Here is a 15,430-nt window from a genome sequence, read left to right on the forward strand (position 1 = left end):
GGGGTTGGGTGTGCAAAGGGTGGCAGCAAGGAAGGCAGGGGTCCTAAGGTGTGTCCTCCTGCCCTCCTTGCTGTAGACTTTGGCCTGAGCAAAGAGGCCATTGACCACGAGAAGAAGGCCTATTCTTTCTGCGGGACAGTGGAGTACATGGCCCCTGAGGTCGTCAACCGCCAGGGCCACTCCCATAGTGCGGACTGGTGGTCCTATGGGGTGTTGATGGTGAGTGCCCAGACAGGGGTAAAGGATCCAGCCCAAGCCTCTGGCCTCAGTCTCCCTATCTGTACAGTGAGGGGGTTGATCATTTCTAGGGCTCTCCCCGTCTCCTCTCACAGCCAAGCTGGCCTCACCCTATATGCACCTGCAGTTTTCTTCCTTGGAAGGATCCCAGGCTTGACCCCACCTGGGACGCGCCTAACCCAGTGCTGGCCTTCTCCCCAGCCTCGCGCCCCCACCGCTGCTCCTGGTGGTCTGGTTGGCAGAGGCAAGAGGGACGGGCATAATTCTTGCTCCAGGCTGACTTGGATGTATCAGCAAGAATCCTGGGACTGGGGCAGAGGGGTCTGACTGGGAGGAGGCGGGAGGTGTGTCGGAGACAGGGATCAGAGCCTGAATAGATCCTTGTCCTCTGCAGTTTGAGATGCTGACGGGCTCCCTGCCCTTCCAGGGGAAGGACCGGAAGGAGACCATGACACTGATTCTGAAGTAAGCCCCAGCCCTGCCCTGATAACAATGGACTCCTCCAAGCCCCAGCCCCAGTTTGGGGGTCAGAATATTATTACCCTGTCCCTGCCTCAGCTACCCTCTCTAATGAGACTCTCCTCTGGGTTAAACATTATACCTTCCAGAGCCCCTCTTTCATCCCTGGGGGCCTGTGGGTAGGATCCCTGAAGCCTTTGGGAAGTGAATTAGTGGATGGCTTGTCTAGACTGAGCTGGGAACTAGATCTGGACAGGGGCCGGGGGAGATGGGGCCTCTGGGGCAGGGCTCAGCCTTGATGAGTCCCGGGGGCTGTTTCAGGGCGAAGCTAGGCATGCCCCAGTTTCTGAGCACTGAAGCCCAGAGCCTCTTGCGGGCCCTGTTCAAGCGGAATCCTGCCAACCGGCTCGGTAAGCAGCCCCAGCTCAGGGGAGGGGATGTGGCGATGGGGAGCCGGGTACAGCTGCAGCCTAGGCCACAGGGCCACATCTGGGCTGAAAGGGGCCGTTGTCCTTTGTGTGGGCAGACAATGCCGCGGGCCACCCTGCTTTCTGGCTCCATGTGTGGTGTTGTGGAGGGGGGAGTTGACCTGTGTGTAGGGGGAAGGCAGGAACTGAGTCATCCCTACTCCCTCTGGGGACAAGGACAGAGGCCCCCACACAGCTTCTCCGCCAAGGCTGCTGGCACAAGAGAAATAGCATGAGCTCAGGAGTCAGAAGGCATAGGTCCCAATCCCGGCTCTGTGTCAGGTCCCCACTGCCTGGCACAAAACAGTCCCTCTATAAATATTTGTTAAACGAATGAGGCCACTTATGAACTAAGTGACCCCAGGCAGGTGACTTCACCTCTCTGCACCGCAGGTTCCTCGTCTCAATGGGAGATGATGATCCCAAGCTTGCTTCAGGGCTCTGTTGATGAAATGAGGTTGTGTGAACATGCCGGCATGTAGTAGGTGTCCAGTGTGTGCTGGCTTCCCTGGCTCCTGGGTTCATCTGGTCCATGACCAGCTGTGTAAGGTCCAGTCAAGGCCCCTGGGGTCGAATGGAGTAACAGCCTGTCCTATGGTTGAAAAGGTCAATGGGATAAGAGGAACAGAGATGAGGCTTGCCTTGGAATGAGGTGGGGCTCTCTGTAGGTCTCAGAACAAGCTCAGCTTCTGTTCTAACTGTGTGGCCTTGGAGAAGTTGCCTAAAGTCTCTGGGCCTTCCTCCTCCCACTGGTACATTGGAATTTCTTCATCAGAAGCTCCAGAAAGTGGAAAATGCTGAGTAGGTGACAGGCCTTAGGGTGATGGCTGGGTAGATTTGAGGCTGAGTGAGCCCATTTTCCCCTCTGCTCCAGCAGCTGGTCCCAGAGCCCTGTGAGGCTGCTTGGTGGGCAGGGTAATATCTGGGACTTGTGCCAGCCAGGGACAGACCCTTCATTTGGGCTCTTTCAGGCTCCGGCCCTGATGGGGCAGAGGAAATCAAGCGGCATGTCTTCTACTCCACCATTGACTGGAATGTGAGTGTGTCCACCCACACCAGGGCTCTGGCCAGGGCTCAGCCATCTTGGCCACAGGAAGGGTGGTGGGAGGGGAGCCTCTGCCAGCGAGGGCCCCAGACGCAGGAGCAGAGGGTCACAGCCTGCCCTTGAAGACAAGGGCTGGCCTCCTGAGGGCAAGCAATTCCGAGAGCTGGGCAATATGGCCTATGTTCCAAGCCCAGCACCTCCTCCTGCATGGGGCTCCTGGTGGGCTGTTGAGGATGCCATGGTGACCAGAGTGCCCACCCCACTGTGCAGAAGCTATACCGTCGTGAGATCAAGCCACCCTTCAAGCCAGCAGTGGCTCAGCCTGATGACACCTTCTACTTTGACACCGAGTTCACGTCCCGCACACCCAAGGGTGCGTCCCTTATCTGTTTTGTCTGTCTTGGGCTGGTACAGGAGGGAAGCCGGGAGTCGGTGGCAGCTTGGGGGGCAGAGATAGTCAGGGACACTGACAGGCCGAGGTATGCGGGTGGGCAGGCGGGTGAGTTTCTGGCTCCGTGGGACTGACTTTGTCCCTGTCTCACTCCGCCCGACTCTCTCACTATGGGGCTCTGTGGGTCTCTTTGTGTCTGGTGAGAGAGTGGGAGTGGGGATGTGTGGGTGGTGAAGGCCACAGTAGAAAAGCCAGGACCCCTGCCCGGGGCACCTTCCAGCCCACTGGGAAGACCAAACACATCAGGCTTACCATCACGTCAGGGAGAAAGAATCTGACCCAGCCACACTGTGTGGTGGCTGAGCAGAGGTGACAGTGCCCATAGGTCAGGGACAGGCATGGGAATCAGCTTTGGCTGCCCTGACTGCCCGGCCTCCGTGTACTTATCTGGAACAAGGGCACAGCCACAAACCCACTCATTCCCTGGGGTTGCTACAAGAAGCCAGTGAGGGAGCTTCTGGGAAGGAACCTGGTGAATCCTAACTTTTTGGCCAGATATTGACAGTGGGTGTGGGGTGGAATGTTCTGGGAAACCTCCTATAAGGGCATGTTTTAGGAGAGGGTGTGCTTTTCTTCTCTCCTCTCCTCCCCTCCCCTCTCCTCCCCTCCCCTCCCCTCCCCTCCCCTCCCCTTCCCTCTCCTTCCCTTCCCTCTCCTCTCCTCTTTTCAAGATGGAGTCTCGCTCTGTTGCCCAGGCTGGAATGCAATGGCGTGATCTCAGCTTACTGCAACCTCCACCTCCTGGGTTCAAGAGATTCTCCTGCCTCAGCCTCCCGAGTAGCTGGGATTACAGGCATGTGTCAGCACGCCTGGCTAATTTTTGTATTTTTAGTAGAGACGGGGTTTCACCATGTTGGCCAGGCTGGTCTCGAACTCCTGACCTCAGGTGATCCACAAGGGGGTGCTTTTCTCACTGCACTTGCACGCCTCTGATGACAGAGACAGCACTTCTCCAAGCAGTCCGCTGGGCAACGTGACAAGTGCAGCTTCGTAGGAGTCAGGGGCCGGAGGAGCAGCATCAGGCAAGGCTTCTCAGAGGAGGGAGCGTGCGAGTTGAGTCTTGAAGGATAGGCAAGGAGTGGATTATCTAGTTAAAGGGAACAGTGTGTGCAAGGGCTCAGAGACCCCTCTAAGGATCTGAGAAGTCCAACATGGCTCAGCTGTGGTATGGAGAGAGAGGAGGTGAGGATCACAGGGCCCTCAATTGCCAGACTCAGGAGCTGGACTTACTCCTGAAGGCAGACGGGAACCTTTGAAAGGTGTGGGCAGGGTGGCAGATTTGTGGTTGGAACCTTCCCTCTGGCTGCTGTGCAGAGATGGACCTGAAGGGGCTGACGTAAGATGGGGAAGCTGGGGAGGAAGCATCCAGGAAGGGATGAACTGTCTTGGCCTGGGATGGAGGTGGATGTGAGAGTCTTTTTTGTTCCTCATGCGACAGGACTGGGCTGGTCTAATAAACACATATGAGCAGTTGGGCCAAGGCCTGTGATGGACAGGCCCTCTGCAGGCTCCCGCCACGGCCAGCCCCTGAGGCAGGTCTGGAGGCCCTGTGCTCCCCCTTTGCTGGGCTGCCTCAGGGTCGAGGGGACCTCCTCAGGTACCCTCACATTCTCCTTCCATCCGTACAGATTCCCCAGGCATCCCCCCCAGCGCTGGGGCCCATCAGCTGTTCCGGGGCTTCAGCTTCGTGGCCACCGGCCTGATGGAAGACGACGGCAAGCCTCGTGCCCCGCAGGCACCCCTGCACTCGGTGGTACAGGTGAGGGGGGCAGGGGGCTGCTGCTCCATTATCCTTTTCTAAAGAATGGCTGAGTACACAGGCTCTGAGTTGGACAGAACCAGGTTCATACCCTCATGCCACTGTGGGACCAGTAGGGCCTCCAACATAAAACAGGGACAGTAAGGCCCACCTCACACAGTGGCCCTGATAATTGGATGATGATATGGGTGTACATTTCCCAGCACAGAGCCAGGGTCTGGGTACATGTCAGGAGGTGCCCAGGGTGGTGGTGCCGAGTGACTGTCGTGTCTCCGGCATAAGTGTAGCGAAGGACTTGGATCTCATCACACTTGTTCCCCATTTGTACACTTCTACTGCTAATGAAAGTTTCAGGTTGAGAGGCAAGAATGTAGACTGTGGAGCTCATTGCATGGGTTCCAGATTCACAAGATAATGGACTTTGGGGTTTTTTGTTTGTTTGTTTTTGAGACGTAGTCTTGCTCTGTTGCCCAGGCTGGAGTGCAGTGGCACAATCTCAGCTCACTACAGCCTCCACCTCCCAGGTTCAAAAAATTCTCCTGCCTCAGTCTCCCGAATAGCTGGGACTACAGATATACACCACCACACCCAGCTAATTTTTTTTTTTTTTTTTTGTATTTTTAGTAGAGACGGGGTTTTACCATGTTGGCTAGGCTGGTGTCAAACTCCTGACCTCAAGTGATCCGCCCACCTCAGCCTCCCAAGGTGCTGAGATTACAGACATGAGCACCTGACCAGATAATGGACTTTGGATGAGATACTCCCTTCCTCGTGCCTCAGTTTCCTCATCTGTAAATGGGGGAAATGATAGAAGCTTCCTCCATAGAGCTGTTATGAGGATTATTAGAGTTAATACATGTAAAGTTCATGTGGGCTGGGCACGGTGGCTCATGCCTGTAATCCCAGCACTTTGGGAGGCCAAGAAGGGTGGATTGCTTGAGGCCAGGAATTTAAACAGACCCATCTGGCCAACATGGCGAAACCCCGTCTCTAAAAATACAAAAATCAGCTGGGCGTGTTGGCGCGTGCCTATAGTCCCAGCTACTTGGGAGGCAGAGGTTGCAGTGAGCTGAGAACGTACCACTGCACTCCAGCCTGGGCAACAGCGTAAGACTCTGTCTCAAAAAATAAATAAATAAAATAAAAAATAAAGTTAAGGTGACTATGTAATTTATTTTCCAAACTGGGACATCTTAGTCCAGGACAAATATTAAATCAGACTGGATGCAAGGACCGCATGCGCAAGCCAGGGCTGGCCGTGGGGCATGCAGTCACCTGATGAAAGTGCTTAGAATAGTGCCTGGCACACAGCACACACTAAGCACCATTCAGCATTGCTACGGCTAATGTCCCAGAACCTTGAGACACCCCATGAGTTGAGCTGTGACACCCCAGAAAGGGAGGCAGGCCACTCAAAGCCGTACTTAGTGGCACAGCTGGAACTCAGCTCAGGGCTCCTGCGTCCCTCCCAGGCCTGCCCAGACTTTTCAGAACTAAAGTCCTCTCCATGTGTGTTGTGACCCTGTTTCCCACTCCCTACACTGCCCTCTGACCACAGGCTGCAGTCCAGGCAGGCTGGGAGCCAGTGAGTATGCCCATTATATAGAGTAGAAAACTGAGGCCCAGAGAGGGGCAGGCTGTCACCTGCGGTCACATGGCCAACACTCTACCCCAAGTCTCCTGGCCCTTCCCTGGTGCTGTCTCTACTGAGCCAAGACCTTAGGTCCTGGGGGATGACCCCTAGCACTCTAGAGCCAGGGGTCAGCCACAATTTTTGGTCTCCTACAGCAACTCCATGGGAAGAACCTGGTTTTTAGTGACGGCTACGTGGTAAAGGAGACAATTGGTGTGGGCTCCTACTCTGAGTGCAAGCGCTGTGTCCACAAGGCCACCAACATGGAGTATGCTGTCAAGGTGGGCCTCCTGACCACGTCTCGGCCAAGGCTGCTGGGTTGGGGGCAGGTCCCCGTCTGGTGGGGAGGGATGGTGCCTGAGCTCTGCAGATGTATGAAAGGTGTGTGGCCGAGACCTCCTGGCCTGCTCCATGGCCAGAAAGGACCCTGGACCCTGTCACCCTGACACTGCCACATGCACCCCCTTTCTTCAGGTCATTGATAAGAGCAAGCGGGATCCTTCAGAAGAGATTGAGATTCTTCTGCGGTATGGCCAGCACCCCAACATCATCACTCTGAAAGATGTGAGTGGGGGTCCTTAAGACTGGGGTGGGGACCAGGAACTCAACTCTCAGGATTTGTCTCAGGATTGCCATTCCTTTGACTTCTCATCCTCTTTCCAGTGGTCATGTGGAGGGGAAGGAGGTCCCTTGGTCCCTTCAGTCTGCCCATACCCCAAGGGCCCTCCTTCAGACTCAGACATTTTCTGAGGACCTTCTTGCGTATCAGGAGACCAGTGTCAGCATCCTCCTTTTGGGGAAGGCAGGACCACTGAAGAGCAAGCAGAACACCTGCCCAAGGCTCATGTCATTCTTCCCTGCTCTGGGGCGCTGCTGACCAGGGGGCTCAGGCCTGACACTGGGGAGAAGAGCCTGATGGTGAGGTCTTCGGCAGGTGTATGATGATGGCAAACACGTGTACCTGGTGACAGAGCTGATGCGGGGTGGGGAGCTGCTGGACAAGATCCTGCGGCAGAAGTTCTTCTCAGAGCGGGAGGCCAGCTTTGTCCTGCACACCATTGGCAAAACTGTGGAGTATCTGCACTCACAGGGGGTGAGTCTGGATTCGGGGAGGCAGTAGGGGGATGCCAAGGGTCATATCATCAGCAGAGAACATGAACCACCTGCTGGCCCAGGAATGGCAGCCTCCAGCTAGCCAAACTGAGGGGACACTAGGGCTGGGTGGGTGGATGCGTGCAAAGGAAGGAGGGAGAGATGTGGCCAATTGTGAAAGGGAAGGTATGGAAAGTTATTCAGTATCTACTGTGTGCCAGGCACCATGGTAAGGTTTAGCATAAGATGAAGTTTCCAGACCAGGCATGGTAGCTCACGCCTGTAATCCCAGCAACTTGGGAGGGCAACGCAGGTGGATCACTTGAGGTCAGGAGTTTGACACCAGCCTGGCCAACATGGTGAAACCCCATCTCTACTAAAATACAAAAAAATTAGCCGGGTGTGGTGGGGGGCATCTGTAATCTCAGCTACTTGGGAGGCTGAGGCAGAAGAGTGGCTTGAACCCGGGAGGCGGAGGTTGCAGTGAGCCAAGATCACACCATTGCACTACAGCCTGGGCAACAGAGCGAAACTCCATCTAATAAATAAATACATAAATAAGATTTACATTATCTCAATTGATTTTCACAACAACTCTGAGATAGATGCTGTTACTGGCCCCACTTCACAGGTAAGAAGACCGGAGCTCAGAGATGAAAGTTCATTTGCTAAATATCACATAGCCCGGGAAGAATGGAAGAATTTCAGACTGAAGAATTTAGGTGGGGAGTGGCTTTTGAGTTAGGAAGTGGCAGGGTCACCGTGGGGGAGCTGCAAGGCTTCAGGGAGGTGAATTTGACTGGGTTCAGTTGCTAAGGCAGAGGAAATGGATGCAGGAGGAAATTCTGCTGGAAACGTAGCAGGGACTGCAGAAGAGGTATAGGTCCAAATGGCAGGGTCTGGCCTTTATTACTGCACAAGGCAGGTGAGCACTAGATGACGGTGAGGTAGGAAAGTTCATTACAGTGGATTAAAGCCCAAAACAGTAGCATTAGCTTCTCTCTGCATGAGATAATGTTTTAGGGTGCATCTGATCAGACAACATGGGGGTTAAGAATGCAGGCTATGAATCCACCTGGCTGAGTCCAGGTCTTGGTGTATGAGGTTGTTAACTTGTTTTCACATAGTACCCAGTCCATAGACACATTTTTCTCCTATTGTCCTTTTTTTTTTTTTTTTTTTTTTTTTTTGGAGATAGAGTCTTGCTCCTGTCGCCCAGGCTGGAGTGCAGTGGCACGATCTTGGCTCACTGCAACCTCTGCCTCCCGGGTTCAAGTGACTCTCCTGCCTCAGCCTCCCAAGTAGCTGGGATTAGAGGCGCCTGTCACCATGCCTGGCTAATTTTTTTGTATTTTTAGTAGAGATGGGGTTTCACCATGTTGGCCAGGCTGGTCTCAAACTCCTGACCTCAGGTGATCTGCCCGCCTCGGCCTCCCAAAGTGCTGGGATTACAGGTGTGAGCCACCACACCCGGCCCCCATTGTCCTTTCAAAAATGTCTTTTTTGACTGGTTTATTGAAATTAGAATACCTGTAAGTTCCACACATTTCATTCAGTTGGTAAATCTCTCCCCCTTTTTTTTGAGACAGGGTCTCACTCTGTTGCCCAGGCTGGAATGCAGTGACACAATTGCAGTTCACTGCAGCCTTGACCTCCTTGCGCTCAAATGATCCTCCCACTTCAGCCTCCCAAATAGCGGGGACCACAGGCACGCACCACCACACCTGGCTAATTTTGTATTTTTTGTAGAGATGGGGTTTTGGCTTGTTGCCCAGGCTGGTCTTGAACTCTTGAGCTCAAGTGATTTGCCCACCTTGGCCTCCCAAAGTGCTGGGATTACAGGCGTAAGCCACCTTACCCAGCCTCTTTTCTTCTTTTTTAAAACTGGAGGAAAATTTGCATACAGTAGATTTCAAGGGTACATTCTGATGAATTTTGTTAAATGTGTACACCCATGTCGCCTCCACAATTAGACCTCCCTTTTTTATGCCACCGACATATTGTATATGAGTTCTGTGGAATGTCTCACATTCTGAATTTGTCTGTCGGCTGCCTCCTGGATCATTTACATTATTTCTCCATTGTCTATATTTCCTGTAAACTGCAAGTTGCTCTAACATCATTATTAGCTTCAGTTTTTTGGGGGGGATGGGAATGAGGTTCAGATGGCTAAGGTTGGGCTGAGCATGGTGGCTTATGCCTGTAATCCCAGCACTTTGGGAAGCCAAGATGGGCAGATCACTTGAGGCCAGGAGTTCAAGACCAGCTTGGCCAATATGATGAAACCCCATCTCTACCAAAAATACAAAAATTAGCTGGGCATGGTGGCCCATGCCTGTAATCCCAGCTACTCTGGTGGCTGAGGCACAAGAATCACTTGAACCTGGGAGGCAGAGGTTGCAATGAGCTGAAATCACACCACTGCACTCCAGTCTGGATGACAGAGCAAAACCCTGTCTCAAATAAAAAATAAAAATAAAAAAAAGAAGGCCAACGTCATCCAATCTATGGAGGTACACTTCACAGTGCATTACATCCACGAGTGCACAGTGTCATGCTGCCTACCTTTTTAAATTTAATTTTATTTAATTAATTAATTTACTTATTTATTTTTGAGACGGAGTCTCTCTCTGTCGCCCAGGCTGGAGTGCAGTGGCACGATCTCAGCTCACTGCAAGCTCCGCCTCCCAGGTTCACGCCATTCTCCTGCCTCAGCCTCCCGAGTAGCTGGGACTACAGGCGCACACCGCCACACCCAGCTAATTTTTTGTATTTTTAGTAGAGACGGGGTTTCACCGTGTTAGCCAGGATGGTTTCGATCACCTGACCTTGTGATCTGCCCGCCTCGGCCTCCCAAAGAGCTGAGATACCAAGTATGAGCCACCGCGCCCGGCCACGCTGCCCACCTTTAACCATGGCAGGTGGTAACCGTCCGATCTCCTTATTATAAAGATCCTCATCTAATGGTTTCATCCTTTCAGAATCTTGCATGAGTCGAGTATTTCATTAGGGTTGTGAAAGTGGCGATGCCTGATTATGTCTAATTTTTTAGGGGAAATTCTGTAAAAAAGAACTTTACCTCTTAACCAAAGCTCCAGTTTGGTTACCCCCTGTGCTTTTAATTGTCATGTTTGAAGTGGCTTTGGTTTTTGAAATGCCAGTGCAATAGACTAATATTTAAACATGTCAGGTCAGAGAGTAAATGTTTTTCCTTTTTTCTGTTTTGTTCTTAAGTGAGTACTCGTTAAACTTAAAATGGTTTAGAAGACAGGCAAGCCAGTGTACCCGTGGGTCACCTGAAGCTAAAAGTAAGGAGGAACTTTCTGAAGAGGGGAGCTGCCTCCAGAGGCAGTGAGCTCCTTCCACTAGGGATGTGCAAAGCTCCAAGTATAGATAACCACTTGGTGAGGATGTTGTTGGAGGAAGTCGTCTCCTTCCTGAAGCTAGGAGTGTATGTGTCTCCAAAGTTTCTGGCTGTTTGCTAATACCGGGGCAGATGATGAGGAATGGGAAGCTCTTCTTATTGAGATATTTGGAGTGGATCCTCTGGGTTGGTTTGTCAGCAGCAGTAGCTGTGGTCTGTAAGCTGGGAATCCCACAGGAGCTGAGGGATGGGAAGGGGATGACCAGGGAGCAGGGTCCACTGGGACCCCTGTTTGTTTGAATATTATGTTTGTATTGAAGCATTGCATGAACACCGAGAAGTGTACAAATCACAACGGACAAGTCAATAAATTTTCAAAAAGTGAATACACCTGTGTAACCAGTACCCAGCTCAATAAACAAAGCATTTCCAGTTCTCCTGGAGCCCCCGCAACCTGAGGATAACCATCCTAAGCTAAATTCTAGTAGGTTTATTTTGCCCGTTTTTGAATTTATTTTTTTCTTTTCTTTTCTTTTCTTTTCTTTTTTTTTGAGATGGAGTTTTGCTCTTCTCGCCCAGGCTGGAGTGCAATGGCATGGTCTTTGGCTCACTGCAACCTCTGCCTCCCAGGTTCAAGCAATTCTCCTGCCTCAGCCTCCCAAGTAGCTGGGATTACAGGCACCTGCCACCACATCCAGCTAATTTTTGTATTTTTAGTAGAGGCGGGATTTCACCATGTTGGCCAGGCTGGTCTCGACCTCCTGACCTCAAGTGATCCACCGGTCTCGGCCTCCCAAAGTGCTGGGATTACAGGCGCGGCCCCGTTTTGGAATTTCATACAAACTTTCTCTTTTGTATCTGGCTTCTGCCATTCAATGTTGTCTTTGAGATCCATCCACATTGTTTTGTGGCTGCTGTTCATTCATTTCATTGCTGTGTACAACTCTACTGTATGTATAATTGTCCATTCTCCTGTTAATAGACACCAGATGGTTACTAGATTGTTGACTGTTACAAATAATGCTGTTGTGACATTCTATCTGTTGATTGTATACCTAGCAATGGAATTGCTGGGTCAGAGTGTTTGTGTGTTCGTCTTTAGCAGATATTGCCAAACAGTTTTCCAGAGTGCTTTTGCTAATTTACACTCCCAACAGAAGTGTGTGAGAGTTCTGGTACTTGCCAATGTTGGTATTTTTAATCTCTTCAATCATTGCCATTCTGGTGGGTGTGGAGTGGTATCTCATTGTAGCTTTTTTTTTTTTTTTTTTTTTTGAGACAGAGTCTCGCTCTGTTGCCCAGGCTGGAGTGCAGTGGTGCGATCTCGGCTCACTGCAACCTCTACCTCCTGGGTTCAAGTGATTCTCCTACCTCAGCCTCCTGAGGAGCTGGGATTACAGGCGTGTACCCACCACACCCAGCTAATTTTTTTGTATTTTTAGTAGAGACAGGGTTTCACCATGTTGGCCAAACTGTTCTCGAACTCCTGACCCCAGGTGATCCGCCCACCTCAGCCTTCCAAAGTGCTGGGATTACAGGCATGAACCACTGTGCCCGGCTCATTGTAGTTTTAATTTGCATTTTTCTGATGTTTAATGAAGTTGAGGACCTCTTCATATGTTTATTGCCATTTGGACAGCCTCTTTTATGAAATGCCTCTTCAAGTCTTTTGTCCATTTTTAAAAATTGGTTGTCTTTCCTTTGCATCCTACGTGGCAGGAGTTCATGATTTAATATGTGGAGTCTTCTTAAGTCGCCAGGCTCCCTCTGTGTTGTTTCTATAAGGTTATGGACTCTATAATAGAGGGCTTCTCCCTTTAACCAGGTGATTCACTTAGAACAACTTCGCCTCTTTTTTGGCTGGTCACAGGTGCCTAAATGCACATCCTCTCACGCTGCTCCTGAAGATGCTGCTGCCACTGCTGCTAATGGCAGCTAATGCCATATGCCACTTTCCACAGGCCAGGCGGGGTTCTGTGCACTTTACATATTAACTTTTTTTTTTTTTGAGACAGGGTCTCACTCTGTCACCCCAGCTGGAGCACAGTGGCATGATCATGGCTCACTGCAGCCTTGACCTCCCAGGCTCAAGTGATCCTTCCTCCTCGGCAACCTGCACCCCACACAGCTAGGACTACAGGCGTGCCACCACACCTGGCTAATTTTAAAATTTTTTTTTTGTAGAGACAGGGTCTTACCATGTTGCCCAGGCTGGCCTCAAACTCCTGGGCTCAAGCGATTCTCCCACCTCAGCCTCCCAAACTGCTGAGATTTACAGGTGTGAGCCACTGCACCCAGCCCAGAGCCTGTGCTGCTTTGGACAGCATCTGGTCTCTAGGGTTTTTTGTTGTTGTTGTTTGTTTGTTTGTTTTGAGACGGAGTCTAGCTCTGTCACCCAGGCTGGAGTACAATGGCGCAGTCTCGGCTCACTGCAACCTCCGCCTCCCAGGTTTAGGAGATTCTCCTGCCTCAGCCTCCCGAGTAGCTGGGACTACAGATGCATGCCACCACGCCCGGCTAACTTTTGTATTTTTAGTAGAGACGGGGTTTCTCCATGTTGGTAAGGCTGGTCTTGAACTCCCAACCTTGTGATCTGCCCGCCTTGGCCTTCCAAAGTGCTGGGATTACAGGCATGAGCCACCATGCCTGGCCTGGTCTCTAGTGCTTCTTCCCAAGCAGTCACTGTGTCTTAACATCCAGCATGATAGAGGGGTTCAGTCCAAGGCAGTTCTGGGGTTACTGTGATGTCCATCATTTCCCAAGCCCTTTGCTAAATATTCCTGTCCTTCTCTATAAGCCTGGGGTTGAATACTATTATCAGCCCCATTTTACAAGTGAGGAAACTGAGGGCTACAGATGTTAAATGTCGTGCCCAAAACCACACAGCTGTGAGTGGATAGTAAAGCCAGGATTCACACCCTGGCCTGCCCGACTCCTTCCTGTGACTGGAATCCCAACTCTCCTGGAGGTCACGGCCTATTGCTCCAGTGCCTGCATTTGGCCTACACATATATTTTGTTTGGCCTGCAAGATAAGGGGTGTTTTTTGATTTGAGGTATGGTTTAGTAAGGTTTGGTAATTTGGCTGCTTTTAAAAACACTGGGTCCGAGTTGCTATGTAGTGACTGTCAGCTGGAGCCAGGTAGCTGCTGTCCTCTGTGGACTGCTTGGAGGTTCCCACTCTGCCTGGCTTCACTCATTACTTGCCCAGCCTGTTGTGATTTTCCATGCGGTGAGATGTGAGACTATACTTTTCCTCCCCCAACATACACTCCTGAGGGTCAGGTATCAGAATCACCTGTGGGGCTTTTTAAAGCTGTACTTCCCCTCCCCCACTCACCATCCCTACTATTCTGCCACTGGCAGTGGTGAGACAGTTTCCTATAGGAATTTGTAGTTTCTCTATGTTGTATTAGGGTAGGAAAAAAGATCAACAACTTGAGCCGGGCGTGGTGGCTCACGCCTGTAATCCCAGCACTTTGGGAGGCTGAGGCAGGTGGATTGCCTGAGGTCAGCAGTTCGAGACCAGCCTGGCCAACATGATGAAACCCCATCTCTATTAAAAATACAAAGAATTAGCTGGGCATGGTAGCAGATGCCTGTAATACCAGCTCCTTGGGAGGCTGAGGCAGGAGAATTGCTTGAGCCTGGGAGGCAGAGGTTGCACTGAGCCGAGATCACGCCATTGCACTCCAGCCTGGGCAACAAAAGCAAAACTCCATCTCAGAAAAATAAATTAATTTAAAAAAAAGGTCAACTTCCATATCCCTGTGTCCCAGTAGTGTCATGTGTGCCACACTAAACTGGAAAGACTATGGAATTCAGGTCAGAACTGGGTTCTGGTCTTGCCTCTGCCTCTAACCTACATGCAAGTGAGTTGTCCTCTCAGGCTGGGCGTAGTGGCTCACACCTGTAATCCCAGCACTTTGGGAGGCCAAGGTGGGAAGATCACTTGAGGCCAGAGTTTAAAACCAGCCTAGCCAACAGGGTGAAACCCTGTTTCTATAATACAAAAATTAGCCAGGCATGGTGGTGCACACCTGTAATTCCAGCTAACTGGGAAGCTGAGATATGAGAATTGCTTGAACCTGGGAGACGGAGGTTGCAGTGATCCAAGATTGTGCTGCTGGCGAGACTCCATCTCAAAAAAAAAAAAAAGAAAATTGTCCTCTCAGAGCTTTGGTTTTCTCCTCTGTAAAATGGAGCTAATAATTCCTGTCCACCCGCCGAGGTGCAGTGGATGGCTCCAGTGAGATCACGACTGGTAACATTCTTTGTAAACTGGAAGTTCACTTGTGCAGGGTAGTTGGTGTCCTCAGCCAAGCTGAGCATCCCTGACCTCTAGGTAGAGTCCACATTCCTGGGGGCCTGGCCTTGTGCTGTGGGCATACGATTGTGTTTGAAGGAGGGAGCCCACGGGACTTTCTCCAAGGCTTGGATACAGTGTGTTGCTGGGGCTACCCTAACAGTGTGGCCCTTTCCCCCTCATCTACCTGGCACTCTTCTCCCTATGGAGGTGGACTGTGCTGGGCCATGTCTACCTACTCCACGGGCTCCACGGGCATTGCTGGAGGGCTTGGAGATCAACTGAGACTATGAAAAGACTATCTGAATAAAACCAACTAACCTGCAAAACTCTACTAATCTAACCTGCAAGGTATCTGTCTCTGTGTTTCAGAGGTGTGATTTGTTCATTCATTGCACAAAGTTCACTTAGCATTTGCTCTGTGCTAGGCCCTGCACTGGGTGCTGAAGGTGAACGGGCATTCCACAGACATAGGGTTATGATCGTTACCGAAGGAGCCCCTGGTGGCCTGAGCTCAGGGCACCTGAGGGATGCAATGGACAGTGAGGCTGGAACAGATGATGGCTGTGCCTCCCATGTTAGGGTAGGGACTTTGGGCTTTATCTTGCAGGTAGGGAG

General features: G+C 51.3%; 1 protein-coding gene and 1 non-coding gene across 6 annotated transcripts in view; both read left to right on the plus strand.

Annotated features, from left to right (window-relative positions):
- Positions 1–15,430, plus strand: part of RPS6KA1 (ribosomal protein S6 kinase A1) — a 45,265-nt gene that overhangs the window by 24,759 nt on the left and 5,076 nt on the right. For 4 of the 5 annotated variants that reach the window (NM_002953.4, XM_024448871.2, NM_001330441.2 and 1 more), the window contains 9 exons: positions 77–219; positions 632–702; positions 1,018–1,106; positions 2,135–2,199; positions 2,479–2,581; positions 4,288–4,418; positions 6,207–6,332; positions 6,526–6,615; positions 6,986–7,144. In NM_002953.4, the coding sequence (NP_002944.2) occupies positions 77–219; positions 632–702; positions 1,018–1,106; positions 2,135–2,199; positions 2,479–2,581; positions 4,288–4,418; positions 6,207–6,332; positions 6,526–6,615; positions 6,986–7,144 (977 nt within the window). Of the gene's footprint in view, positions 1–76; positions 220–631; positions 703–1,017; positions 1,107–2,134; positions 2,200–2,478; positions 2,582–4,287; positions 4,419–6,206; positions 6,333–6,525; positions 6,616–6,985; positions 7,145–10,827; positions 10,994–15,430 lie in introns of those variants that run through there. The other variant, XM_047427258.1, reaches the window with a different exon arrangement.
- On the plus strand, positions 23–74 carry MIR1976 (microRNA 1976). The gene has a single exon (NR_031740.1). It is a non-coding gene; the product is annotated as a microRNA 1976 (primary transcript).

This window comes from Homo sapiens, chromosome 1 (assembly GCF_000001405.40).
Source record: "Homo sapiens chromosome 1, GRCh38.p14 Primary Assembly".
Lineage (NCBI taxonomy): Eukaryota > Metazoa > Chordata > Mammalia > Primates > Hominidae > Homo > Homo sapiens.